At 41.6% G+C, this 14,276-nt stretch overlaps 1 protein-coding gene across 4 annotated transcripts in view, besides 1 other annotated feature; it reads left to right on the top strand.

Moving 5' to 3' along the window:
• HIBADH (3-hydroxyisobutyrate dehydrogenase) overlaps nt 1-3,629 on the top strand; it is a 137,442-nt gene extending 133,813 nt beyond the window's left edge. For all 4 annotated transcript variants that reach the window (NM_001430749.1, NM_152740.4, XM_047419834.1 and 1 more), the window contains one exon: nt 2,699-3,629. In NM_001430749.1, the coding sequence (NP_001417678.1) occupies nt 2,699-2,857 (159 nt within the window). In that variant the 3' untranslated portion in view covers nt 2,858-3,629. The remainder of the gene's footprint in view (nt 1-2,698) is intronic.
• Nucleotides 1,486-2,063: an enhancer, noted in NCBI's record as "NANOG hESC enhancer chr7:27566627-27567204 (GRCh37/hg19 assembly coordinates)". NCBI's record gives its function as "activates a minimal SCP1, AML or CMV promoter by ChIP-STARR-seq in naive H9 embryonic stem cells {active_cell/tissue: H9 hESC(naive)}" and the evidence as "EXISTENCE:reporter gene assay evidence [ECO:0000049][PMID:30033119]".
• Nucleotides 3,630-14,276: the final 10,647 nt, after the last annotated feature.

Below are 14,276 nucleotides of genomic sequence, written 5' to 3'. Positions count from 1 at the left end.
AAACCATCCCATAAACAGATGTGCTTTCTTCTAGACTTTGCTGTTCCATTTGGAGAGCACAGGCAGAGTAGATTCAGCATAATTCTTAAGGGCCCTAGGATTTTTGGAATGGTAAATGAGCATTGGCTTCAACTTCAAGTCCCCAGCTGCACTGGCCCTTAACAAGAGGGTTAGCCTGTCCTTTGATGCTTTGGAAACAGACATTGACTTCTCTTTAGCTGCGAAAGTCCTAGATGATATCTTCCAACAGCAGGCTGTTTCATCTACACTGAAAATCTGTTGTTTAGTGTGGCTACCCTCATCAGTGATAGCTGGATCTTCTGGATAACTAACTTCCTGCAGTTTCTCCATCAGCAGTTGCTGCTTCACCTTCCACTTTTATGTTATGGAGATGGCTTCTTTGCTTAAACCTCATGAACTAATCACTACTAGCTTCACACGTCTTCTGCAGCTTCCTCACCTCTCTCAGCCTTCACAGAATTGAAGAAAGTTAGGGCCTTGTTCTGGGTTAAGCTTTGGTTTAAGGGAATGTTTTGGCTGGTTTGATCTATCCAGACCACTCAAACTTACTCCCTATCAGCAGTAAGGCCGTTTCACTTATCATTCATGTGTTCACTGGAATAGCATTTGTAATTTTCTTCAAGAATTTTTTCTTTGCATTCTACTGTTTGTTTTAATGGGCCTGCCTTTCAGCCTGTCTTGATTTTCTACATGCCTTCCTCACTAAGCTTAATCATTTCTAGCTTTTGATTTAAAGTGTGAGACAGCTGACTCCTCTTTTCATTTGAACACTTAAGAGGCCATTGTAGGGTTATTAATTGGCCTAATTTCAATATTTTGTGTCTCAGGGAATAGGGAGGCCTGAGGGGTAAGAGAGAGAGAGCTGCCATTCAGTGGCTGGGCAGTCAGAACACATGTGTACCACATTTATCGATTATGTTTGCCATCTTATGTGCGCTTTCTGACACCCCAAAACAGTTTCAATAGTAACATCAAAGATCACTGATCGGCTGGGCACAGTGGCTCATGCCTGTAATCCCAGCACTTTGGGAGGCCGAGGCAGGTGTATCACCTGAAGTTAGGAGTTTGAAACCAGCCTGGCCAACATGGTGAAACCCTGTCTCTACTAAAAAAAAAAAAAAAAAAAAAAAACGCTGGGTGTGGTGGTGGCAAATGCCTGTAATCCCAGCTGCTCAGGAGGCTGCGGGAGGAGAATCACTTGAACCCAGGAGGCAGAGGTTGCTGTGAGCCAAGATTGCGCCACTACACTCCAGCCTGGGCAACAAGAGAGAAACTCCGTCTCAAAAAAAAAAAAGTTACTGATTGATTGCAGATCACCGTAACAGAAATAATAGTAATGAAAAAGTTTGAAATATTGTGAGAATTACCAAAATGTGACAGCTGCATGAACTGGGCACATGCTGTTGGAAAAACAGTGCTGATAGACTTGCTCAATGCAGGATTGCCACAAACCTTCAATTATTAAAATACAAAAACAAACATGCATTATCTGTGAAGCATGATAAAGTGAAGCACACTAAGACAAGATGTGCCCATACTTGGCTTACTCTCCCTCATTCCCCATGACGTTTGTTCATTCTGCTTCTTGAATATGCCTTGAATTCATCCAGCTCCCTCCTCCCCAGCTAGCTGTACCTTGGCTGAGCCTCGTTTGTGTTGTACCACAAATACATCTTAACTGATCTTGTCTTTCAGCCTGATCTTCTCCAGTTTATTTTCCATATCAAAGCAAGAGTGAGCTTTCTAAAATGTAAAATCCTGATTGTGTCACTTCTCCTTTGAAGCTTTTGTAGTTTCAGTTACTTGGAGATTAAAGTCCATCCCTGCAACTTGTCTGACAAGCCCCCAGATGCCTTGGCTTTTGCTTGCCTCAACCAGACTGATTTTCTTTCCCATCCCCCTCTCCTTGCTTTCATCGTGCTGAACTCACTTCTCCCTCTTGTTCTGTCTCTTGGAAACCTTCACATTTGCTTCACATTTGCTGTCACATTGTCTGCCAGGATGGATCATTCTTCCTTGCCCACCACCTCCCTGCCACCCCCATGTTTTCACCTGGCTCCAGGTCTGTGCTTCACTGTCTTCTTTTTCTTCACCTTTCCCAGCACCCCAGACCCTGCTTCCTTGGATCCCATGATAGTACTCCTCCTATCCAATTATACCATGCTTATTTAATTGTCTTTCTCCTTAACACAATGTGAGTTTGGGTGGGCTGTGGCTGTTTTGCTCATCATTTTATCCCAGCTTCTGGCACATTGTCAGCACACTTCAAATATTTATTGGATGAAGTAATATTTGCAACTGTATTTCCTGTTTTGCAGTTTTATTTCTCCTTGTTTTCATTTAAGAATTTTTTAAAAAAAATTTATGTCTTAAAGATTTCCACAGATAAGATTACACAGGGAAATTTTTTTTCTTCAAATCTGTGGAACAAAACAAACAGGTATTGTGGAAGGTGGAAAAATCGAAGAGACACTCAGAAATCAAGGTTTCTGTCTGGAGCAATTTTGCAGTTATATGAAAGCGCTTATTTAAAAATGTTAACTTACCATAGTATTTATAAGTATCTTATTTTTTCAGATTACATTTTTCCTTCTTTCAAACCAAAACATAAGGAACCACAGTTCCAAAGAGCCTTTACCACCAGTCTCAGCGTGTTCTCTCCTCCTGTTTGATTTAGGATCTGGGATTGGCACAAGACTCTGCTACCAGCACAAAGAGCCCAATCCTTCTTGGCAGTCTGGCCCATCAGATCTACAGGATGATGTGTGCAAAGGGCTACTCAAAGAAAGACTTCTCATCCGTGTTCCAGTTCCTACGAGAGGAGGAGACCTTCTGAGTGTGCCCTTTGGCCACGGACACTGTTGGGAACCAAACTCTGTCTTGGAGCCTCCTTTTAGCTCACTCCACAAGTAAATGGATTTAATCAAAGGTCACCTATCTGCTTTTGATTGTCTAGGTCACAGTAATCCCTAGGATTTTTCACCGCTTATTCTTTTTGTCTTTTTAACAAACATATTATCCGAATTTTTTTTCTGCAAGCCACTGATAGTCTCTGCTAACTAGCTTAATTGACCTTTTTACAAAGTTTGATCCCCAAGCATCCTCAACTAAATCATTGAATACTTCAATCAGGATATTATCTGCTTTACTTTACAAATAAAACCAAATCTTTTGTCAACAGGATGAAACCCATCTTAAAGGAAAGAAAAGGAATTGGTGTGAAGAGAGAAGTTAGAGAAGGGAAATGCAGTGAATTACTATCTGTGTCCATCAGGAAGTTTGTCCTGTTAACCAAATGGTTACTGCACTACCAGGGTTACTGGTTTATTTTCCAGGGAGCTGATAAAGCAGGAGAACTGTTGCTGCATGTTTTCTATTTGGACTCCGTCACAATATGGTAGGATATCCCTCACCAACTCCCGACACTCAGCAGACTTGTTTTTATATTTTTTTCTTTCTTGTTCATTCTTACTACGTATTTTTTGACTTAAGAATGACATCTTTAGATGCATTTCAGAGCCAATGATGATATTTGCTTTAGATAATTATTATATTATTATAAATATAGCCATATTATTTTGAATTCAAATAAATTTCTATACTGGTAATACTTTCTTGGTGTTTTTGTTTCTTCCCCATCATTTGGTGAACTAATGTTCTGACAAACTGATGTTCACACTAATGGGGAAAGGATGGGAATAAAGAGAAAGGAGGGGAGGTCAAAAGGAACAAAGCTCTGAGTTGGCCAGTGGCAAGCTAGTGTTTTGCTGCTTTACCTGAATCCTTATTGAGTATTCGTTTGAATGTTTTTTAGGTCATCAGTTCTCTAGGAATTCAGCCAGCATTAAGTGTAACATGCCCCAATATGGAGCACAGTCACCACTTTTCCCACCTCAGCCTCTAGAAACATTCCAGGTAATAGACCTAGACACCAAATTTGGCAGAAGTATTACTACTTTCATCATTTTACTGGTGATAAAAAATTCCAGGCACTGTTATAAGTGCTGGGGATACAGTGATGAACAAGACACAAGATTTCTGCCCTTGCAGAGCATAAGTTCTGGTGTCTCATGTGTTTGTGACAGACAAGAAATATGTATTTTTCAGATAAGAAGAACTAAAAAGAAAAAGCAGGATAACGGGGATGGATAGGGAGTGCCAGGGGTATTTTCTTAGGGTGATAAGGAAAGTTCTCCCCAATAAGGTGTCAATTGAGCAGAGGTAAGGGAGTAAGCAATGCAGGTATCTGAGGAACAAACATTCCAGGCAAAGGGGACAGAAAGTACCAAGGCCCTGAGGTAGGACAGTACTGAATATGAGGAATAACAGGGAGGCTATAAGTGAAGTGGCACAGAATGAGGGTGGCCAGATCATATGGGGCCTTGCAGGGTATGTTAGGACACTGGCTTTTATTCTGAGCAAAATGGGCAATGTATCAGTTAGCTTTTGCTGGATAACAAATCACCCCAAAATTTAGTGGCTTAAAACAACAAACATGTATTGTTTTTCAAGATTCTGTGGGTTGGCCATATTATTATTCTGGCCTAGACCAGCTCATCTGCAGCTAGAGTGTCTAGTTTGGCTTTACTCAGCTGGGACAGCTGGAATGGTTGGGGCTTCTCTCCATGTTTTCATGCATTCTCCAGGAGGCTGGTATGAATTTGTTCACATAGTGGTGGAAGCATCCCAGCAGCAGCATAGGACAAGCCCTGACTTTCTAAGCCTCTGCTTGCTTCATGTTTGTACTTTCCCCTTGGCCACAGCAAATGTCATAGCCAAGCCCAGAATCAGCATATGTGGGGTCTGCATAAGAGTGTGGACACAAAGAGGGGCATTATGGTGGCCTTTTTGCAAACAGCCTATCACAAGCAGCCTGTGAAACTTTTTCACCAGATTGATGTGATCTGACCTACTTTTTTAAAGGGATCACTCTGGATGCTGTGTGGAGAAGAGTCTGTAGGAGCAAGGCTGGAAACAAGGAGACCAATTCGGAGGCAATAGTAATAACCCAGTTGAGAGGTGGTAGCTGGGACCAGAATGTTAAAATGATGGAGGAGGCAAGAAGTGGTTAGATTCTGAACCTAGAAAACAGAGCCACTAACTGATGGATGGCATGAGAGAGAAAGTAGGGAGTCAGGGATAATCCCACTGTCAGTGGCCTGAGAAAGCAGAAGAAAGAAGTTGCCATTTCCTATATGGGGAAGATCATGGGGGGAAGATTTGGGGAGGATTGTAGGAAGTTTAGGAGAAAAAAATCAGAGATTTATATGAGATGCCTTAATAGACATCTAAGTAAAGAAGAACAACAGTCCAAGGACTGAGCCCTGTGTTACTGTAACTTTAGTGGTTAGGAAAATGAGGGGGGACAAGCAAATGAGACTGAAGCAGAGAGATCAGTAAAGTAGGGGAAAAACATGGGAGCAGTGTCCCAGGAGCCAAATGAAAACAGTATTTTAAGGAGGGAATGATGATCTGTGAGTTGAGTAATAGGGCTGAGAATCATTTGGATTTGGCAAAAGAGCTATCACTGGTGACTTTTTCAAGAGTTTTGGTGGAGTCTTGGAAATGAGAGTTGGATTGAGAGTGGGAGAGGAATTGGAAACAGTAAGTATAGAGAATTCTTGAAGAGCTTTGCTGCAGAGGAAAACAGACAAATGGGATAGACATTGGCAGCAAATAAGGGACCAGGAGGAGTTTTATTATATTTTTAAAATAGGAAATGTTATGGGATTATACGGATGGAAGTGGAATGATCCAGTAACGAGGGGAAGTAATGGCACAACAGAGAGGCTACTTGCTAAATGCTGCCTTTCGAGTAGTTGAGAGGGAAGGGGTTTAACTGTGGCCAAATCTCTGCAAATTAAAGGAACCAGCAAAAACAGATCAGATCACATTTCAGCCCGTCAGCATCTTACGTGAAGGATAGAATAGAATTGTAATCAATTATACAGTTTTCAACACGAACAAAATATTTGTGCTGGAAAGGAATTACCTCTGAGTGTGACCCTGTACAAGCCACCCTCTACTGACCATTCATTTTCTCATCTATGAAGTTGTCATAAACCATCTAGCTTAATATTAAATGCTTTCTGGAAATGAAAACAAAAGATATAAGGACAATCACACATGATAGCAGCATATGGAAAAACTGGAACCCTTATACATTGCTGCTGGGAATATAAAATGGTGCAGCCACTTTGGAAAATAGCTCGGTAGTTCCTCAAAAGGTTAAACAGTGTTGGCACATGATCCAGCAATTTCACTCCTAGATGCATAAGGAAAAAAATATATCCACACAAAGCTTGTACACAAATGTTCATAGCAGCATTATTCATAATAGCTAAAAAGTGGAAACAATCCAAATATCCCCCAACTGATGATTGGATGAACAAACTGTCATATCTGCACAATGGAAGATTGCTTGGCCATACGAAGGAATAAAGTACTGATCCATGCTACCACATGGATGAACTTAAAAACATACCAAGTGAAAGGCGGCAGATGCAAAGGGCCACATATTGTATGATTCTACTTATTTGAAGTATTGGATAATAGGCAAATCCATACAGACAGTAGATGAGTGGTTTCCAAGGACTGGAGAGGGGGAAATGGGGAGTGACTGCTAACGGATATGGAGTTTTTTGGGGGGAGTGATGAAAATGTTCTGGAATTAATAGTGGTGGTTCACAACTTTGTGGATATATTTTAAAATCACTGAGTTGTATACTTGTAAATAGTGAATTACCTCTCAATTTTTAAAAAGCCTAAGGAAAATATCATGAGTTAAGATCTTTTGATAAGTGGTTCTCAACTGTGGCAGTTTTGCTTGCCAGGGGGGACACATGGCAATGGCTGGAGACATTTTTGGTTGTCCATTTTACTGGCATTTAGTGGGCAGAGGCCAAGAATGTTGCTAAACCTCTTATAATGCACGGGACAGCACCCACAACAATAGTTATCCTGCCCAAAATGCCAGTCAGGCAAAGTTTAAGAAACGCTGCTCTAGGTGTATGTTCCACAAGACCTGAACTCAGCATATCAAAACCTGAGCTCCTCATTTTCCCCCAAAGCCCTGCTTCTCCTTCTGGTCCTATCCCACGACTCCTCCCAGGCTTTCAGGACCCATCCCTGACTCCTCCATTCCTCCACCCATTCTCCTTAGCTAATTCTAAATCTCTAGTGCCTATTATAGGCCCTCACCAGTTCTTATCTAGGGCAGCAGTCCCCAACATTTTTGGCACCAGGGACTGGTTTTGTGGAAGACAGTTTTTCCATGGGTGGTGGTTGGAGGAATGGTTTTGGGATGAAGCTGTTCCACCTCAGATCATCAGGCATTCGATTCTTGTAAGGAGCACACAACCTAGATCCCTCACATGTGCAGTTCGCAATACGGTTCAGGATCCTATGAGAATGTAATGCAGCTGCTGATCTGACAGGAGGCAGAGCTTAGGCAGTAATGCTTGCTCACCGGCTGGCCACTCACCTGCCCCGCAACCCAGTTCCTAACAGGCCACGGACCAGGTCAGTACTGGTCCTCAGCCCGGGGGTTGGAGACCCCTGATCTAGGGCACTTCAGTATCTGCAGCGACACCTTTTATTTTCCCTAACAGCTTTTTAAAGGTATAGTGTACATACAATGAAATTTGCTCCTTTTATACAATGAATGGCTTTTCGTAAACTGAGAGTTTTACAACCCTCACCACAATTCAGTTTTAGAACATTCCATCACCCCTGCAAAATCCCGTGCATCCATTTGTAATCACTGCTCATTCTCCCGGCCCCCAGCCATTGGCAGCTACTAAGCTTTCTGACTCTAGATTTAAAGCTGCTTCTTGGCCACCAGCCTGGTTTTATTTCCCAATTGCTGAGCACTGCTGCAAGAGAGGTCTTTCTAAGACTGAAATCCAATCCGGCCAACCCTGTTTAGAATGTTTGAGCCTAGGATACAGTCTGGTCTCCAAAGCCATCCTGCTGGGGCTTCTATTTCACCAGCACCACTGCCCACAATACTTGTCTTTTCCCAAACGTGCCATGCTTTGCACACCTCAGTACATTTGCACATGCCATTTCTTCCATTTGGAATGCCGCCCCTTCTGGCACCGTGACCGGTTCAGCACTGTTGTCTTCTAAAAAGCCTTCCTCAGCAACTTCAGACTCAGTCGTTTCCACTCTGTTTTCACAGCAGTTTGTTGACATCTTTCTCATCATAGGACTTGCCCTGTTACATTATATTTGCAGCTTTGCTCATTTGTCTTCCTCACCAGACTGTGAGCTGGACGGCACAGAATGTGTCGTATCAGCTTTGAGGTTTGCGTTGAGTTCAGCACCTAGCATTAAGAGCTCAATAAGCGTTTGAATAAATGAATGAATGAGTGAAAGCTAGGGCATTACATTTATGTTAGGTGAATTACTGACTGCATAAACGTTTTCTTAAAGATTCTTGCTTAGCAGACCAAGTTTATTAGTCAAAAGTTTAGCTTATGCTGCTAAAACTGGAGAAATTCTGGAAGAGAGAGTATGCATTTTTGGTAGCAAGCTTAGTCTAAACTTTTATGTACTTGCATACAGTAAAGCATGCACCTATTGCCCCTTATGGAGTACAGCAGTTGCAAATGTAATCTTACATAACATGCTATGTAGACCTTGAGACATGAGGTGAATCTCAGAATAATCTAGGTTTGATTTACTCAAGGGAATCTGTAAATAGGTGTATGAGAGACTCTTTGCCATCCTACTGATCTGACACCATTATAATGGAGCACACGGCTCAGCCACAGCTGAGTCCACATGTAAGTGAACACCAAATGAACTGGGCCTACTCCTTGGCCATTCTTCACATTACACAAATTTCTATCTTGTTTTCTAAGCAATCAGAAATGTGTATATTATGTCCACATTATAGGGGGGAGAAAGGCAAATCTGAGCAGAGAATGGGGCAAAATTATCCACGTGCATAAATTCTACCCAGGCTACTATCAGAAGCCTGCTGCTGCTCAGGAAAACAGCACGAGTTACTACCAGCCTCAGCTGCGGTAACTGCACCCTTGAGTATTCTCAAATGGCCAGCCAATGGGGAGGCGTCTGCTTGAGTGGGGTTTTTAGCCATCTTTCAGTTCAATTGAAGAGGGAGCTTAAGGACATCATAGGGATTTGTAACATTCCATGCAAGGTGTCAGACCCATAAACTAGCGTGTCCATCATACCGATGCGCAAGTGGAATCGTCTCTCATTGGTGGCAGACAGACTGAAGATGACCTTTTGCTATGTAATTGTATTCATCATTTAATAATTCAAGAATATCTAAAGGGGATGAACACTTCTTTATTCAGATTAGAGCATTAATAGGAAAACACAGTAAATCAGAAGCCCTTTGCAACCAGCCTACAGGGAGTGCTTTCGAATGCCTTGGTTACAAGAATGGTTCCCGGGCTGGGAGACAGGAGACGTGAGCTCTAGCCCTAGGTCAGCACTAAGCTGTGTGTGTTGTAGATCTGTTTCCTTCTCTTTAAAATGAGGGCATCCCATTGATCTTTAAGGTTTGTTTTAGCTCTAAAATTCTGATTCCCCATAGTTAAGGGTTTAAGAAAACATGAGGCATGTGCTTCTGACAGTTTTTGGACTCTCTCTGGTTAGGTATTATTTATTGCTCATATAGCCATCTCATTTATTAAGGTTTTTTTTATAGCCAGGAATAGATTCAGAGATCAATACATTTTTATTAATGATAGTCCGTCATGCCTGGTAAAGAGATAGCAAGAAAGCTCATCTAGAATGAGCCACTTGAATAAACCTGACACATAAGCTTAGCTTCGAGCTGCATTTTGGCAGGCCTCTCTGTGAAATAATGACATTGGCAGAGGAAGAAACTATGGAAACCTTCTTCACAGCCAGACTCATAAAATCAAAAGCAGGTTTGGGGTGTGTTTCTCAGCCCTGGCTGTATATGCAAATCCCATGACTTTTTGAGTGCAGCATTTTATCTTCAAAAGGACAAAATTTGGCATTTGCTGTAGTCATTAAACATGATAAATGCCTAAAATACTTTAGAGTTTGGATTACTGTAGGTTAGAATAAATATTGTGTCAATACTAAACAGGATTTTAGAGTGGAAAACTTCTCATGGACATTGTCAAATCAAAACTTAAAATCTTTTCACTATTTTCCCTTTAATCATACGAATTGAGCATAATTGTTGCCAGTTCTCCTTGTAAAAATGATGGTCTGGGCCTTTTGGAAGTGAATTACTCCTCCCAGCACCATTAAGAGATAGCCTTGTGCCCTGAAAGAGTTAATTCACTTCCAGATGGAGCTTTTCAGCCCCTCTGAGTTCAGATGATATTAAGTTCACTAGTCTTTTATGTTTGTTTTGAGCCTCTTGAACTTCGTTTATATACCATTTATGGATAGAACTGAAGTATTCTATGGTAATTTTAGACTATTTGAGACCTCTTCCAGAAATTTCACTTCAGAGTCCCAATCCCAGAGACTCCAGAGCAAATGCAGCTTTCATCTCGTCTCTCTCTCCCTCCCCTTAATGACCTTAACCCTGACCTGAGGACCACTCTCTGTAAGTGCCAAACATGATTCATTCTCCTTGCTTGGTTTAGTTTTGTTCCTTTTATGAGCCAAGATGACCAGGAGACCTGATAGCTTATTTGCGCTAATGTAAGTATGCTCTACTAGTTAACTCCTAACTCATTTATTTGGCTTTTGCTTTGCCTAGAATTGACCCTTTGTCTCAGAGATGAAACGTTTGTCTTAGACAAAGAGATGCAAACAGTTGACTTAAACAAGAGTCAGGATACAGAGTGAAACATAAAACAAACTGCTGGAGAGGGAGAGTATCTTTATATCCTGTACCTCAACTGCCATATTATAGTTCCAGTATAAATGTTCATTAACATGTTAATGAACATTATACAGTTAAAGCCTAATGTGCTCCTGTTCACACTACTTTCCTCTTGTGAGTTCTAGGAATCATCATATCTCCAAGTTAAAATTTTTCATGTTTGTCACTTTGTGATCCGAATGTCTTATTTCTCCAGCCTCTATAACATAATTTCTGATTCTGCTTGTGTGTGCAGGCATACTTTTCTGACTTGAGTTTAATACGTAGTCTCTGATTTTTTTTTTTTTTTCAAAGTTGCAATGGCAGAACTGGGCCATCAAGGACACTTAGAAGGTGATAAGCTGGAAGAGACTTTTAAGGAGAAGATTTATGATGGGTTTAGTTTCCCTGTTGTCCAGCTTGCCACTTTCAGCCCAATTCATTTTGGATTGGTAGGGGGTCTGTCCATGGGGTTCTGACAAATGTGTTTTTATCCTTGTGAATTTATGCTCACTTCAGTGTCCAAAAAAAAAAAATCTATTAAAAACTGATATGACTTTGAACAGTGGCTTGGTCCCTGATTATGGCCTTTCCTGGCCATCCCATTTAATTTCTGGCTGGACCATCTAGTGACATTAAAAGCTGCCCCTTCCAAAGGTGGATGTTCCCTGCATTGCACTGTACTCATTGCAGTTTAGTCTAGTCCCTTTTATAGGTCAGTGACACCTTGAAGCTTGTATACCTGAGTCACCACAAATCTTAAAAGATGCAATTTTCTTGGCAGCTTTATCCTCCTAAGATGAATTGGATGGTGGGAGTGAAGGACAGGGTTCTAATCTCTGTGTTAGGACCAGGGACGATAGAGACCTCTGTCTTCGCACTGGGAAGCTGCTAGCTGAAGGACTAAAAGAAGGGTTTCTTAAGTGGTTAGTTACATGCTGGAATCTTTGTTGTGGTTTTTAAAACAATCTGCTTGTTCTCTAAAAGAACCTGTTTGTGCTTCTCCTTGAAAAGTACCAGTGGCATTCCCTCACCTACGATACAGCTTTAGGTACTTACTCTCTTCAAAAGAAATAAAATTTCAAAGAAAATTCTTCTAAGGTAGTCAAAGAGTTATCAAATCTGGAGAGCTGGGGAATCTTTTCTTGTGTTAGCCCTGTTATGCCAGATGGTTTCCTTAAAAAAATCATGAATGTATTCTGCATGGTCAGGCATTGTCATCTTTGCAGAGAACTGTCTTTGCCTAATGTCCTGTCTGATGGGCCATTCTATATATTATATGCTACATAATCTCCACAAATGTATACTGTGGTCCATAAAACTGCCATACTGTTTTCAGAAACTAGTAATTCACAAAGTAAACCTGAGACAGTGCTGTTAATAAACACAAATTGCAAACAAGAAGGTAGTAAGTGGAAATAATGCACTCATTTAGGAGTCATAAAGCCTTTGATCTTACTTTGAAGGAAAGAGTCTATGTTTAAACTACCCATTCAGGGACAGCCAGATGCCCATAAAGAGCAGTGCTTTTTGCTTTGATAGAAAATCACTGAGGCCTGTCTAGCAGGTCTGGTTTGTAAACAGATTAGTTAAAGGCTCATCAGGACTGATTTGCATAGGATTCAGCAAGCCTCAGTCACTTAATGAGCAATGCCATTTCCAGGTTGGGAAGAACACCATTTTTTTTCCCCCTAGCTAGAAGTCTTAGATCATTACTTTGTGGGAAAGGGAAAGAATATTCATATAAAGTGAACCCTTGCTGTCCTCTACTAATGGGAAAATGATGACCTAAGGCTTGCTTTGCTTGCTGTAAATGATGAAGGTTGTAATGAAAGAAATAGGTGATGAGTTTGAAATTAGGTTACAAAAAAGGTTTTCCTACCCTTCTCTATTGTTAGAGAGACAAAGGAGGACTAATGTGAATTATAATAGAGAAGGTAGAGAAGGTAAATGCACTGCAGACACAGACCACAAACATGTATCCACAAGTGTTTATGGAGGACCTCCTTGGAGCCTGGCTGTGTGTCAAAGGCGAGACATTCCATGCTGCCCAAGGCAGAGAAAGCGTCAGCCTGCACCAAGCCTCCCTTCTGGGGCCATCATTACAGAGAAATGGGAACAGCAGAGGAAAGGAATTTGGCAGTTTAAGCACAGGTTTTGAAATTCCTACCAGTGAGCCGCTATTTGCTTGAAAGATGGCAAGACCGGTATTTCCAGAGAGAGCAAATCCTCTGATCAATCTTTCTGCACTTTTATTTTTGAGTTTCAGAATAATGGGCAATCACCTTCCTGTCAGTAACTAAGAACCTCTCTTCTCCTTAAATTGTTGGAGTGAGAAAAATGTCCAAAGAGGCAGGGCGTGGTGTCTCACACCTGTAATTCCAGCACTTTGGGAGACTGAGGTGGGCGGATCACTTGAGGTCAGGAGTTCAAGACCAGCTGGCCAGCATGGCAAAACCCCATCTCTACTAAAAATACAAAAATTAGCCAGGCGTGGTGGTGCGTGCCTGTAATCCCAGCTACTAAGGAGGCTGAGGCATGGGAATCACTTGAACCCTACCAGCAGAGGTTGCAGTGAGCCGGGATTGCGCCACTGCACTCTAGCCTGGGCAACAGAGCAAGACTCCCATCTCAAAAAAAAAAAAAAAAAATGAAAAGAAAAAAGAAAAAAAGAAAAATGTCAAAAGAAAGCCTTTGCCTATTTTGATCACTTAACAGATAACAAATGGAGCAGCTCAGTAGAAACAAAAAATCAGAAACTGCTTAATTGTGACTTTGAAAAATATTAACTTTGAAAAATTTTAACTTTGAAAAATAAGCAGTTTCTGAGTAAAACAAAGTGATCTCCGAAGTTTTCAACTGACTTCCAAGCATGCAGTGAGCTGCCGGGGGACAGTGGGTGCTTCTTTGTCTGGCTTGCAGCAGCAGCATCCTGCTTATGGGAGACGTTTTTTAAATATTGTCAACGTTGGCAACATTAACTTGCTCAGCTAGAAACGTGTGTTTAAATAGCAACCTTTGGCCTTTGGGTCCTGCCTTGTCAAGGCCAAGGACCTCAGCCTTACCCTGCTTCCTAGAAGCAAGATCAAATCAGCACTCTCCTGTAAATGTCACCTTGGATCCATTGCACTCAGGAAGACACAGTGCAGCTCTGGGAAGTGTCAGGAGAGCCTAGGGACAATTTCATACTGGCGTGAGCAAGACTCCGGGTCCTGTCCAGGTAATTCAGATGGATAGCGGGTGTAAAGGGAGGCCATGCCCTCTGTCTCTCCAGATGGATTTGATTAGGCTAAGGAGGAAGAGGAGGCCTTGTTAGTCTGCTTGTGAAGATGGCTAGGGAGAGCATTCTAGTAAAATCTACTTGAGACCAGGTAAAACAGCTGCAACCCTCCCTAAGAAAACTGGGGGTATTCTATATCTCTCAAGG

Source organism: Homo sapiens, chromosome 7 (assembly GCF_000001405.40).
Source record: "Homo sapiens chromosome 7, GRCh38.p14 Primary Assembly".
Taxonomy (NCBI): Eukaryota; Metazoa; Chordata; class Mammalia; order Primates; family Hominidae; genus Homo; species Homo sapiens.
Note: the sequence above shows the minus strand (reverse complement) of the source record. Positions and strands in the feature narration are given on the sequence as shown.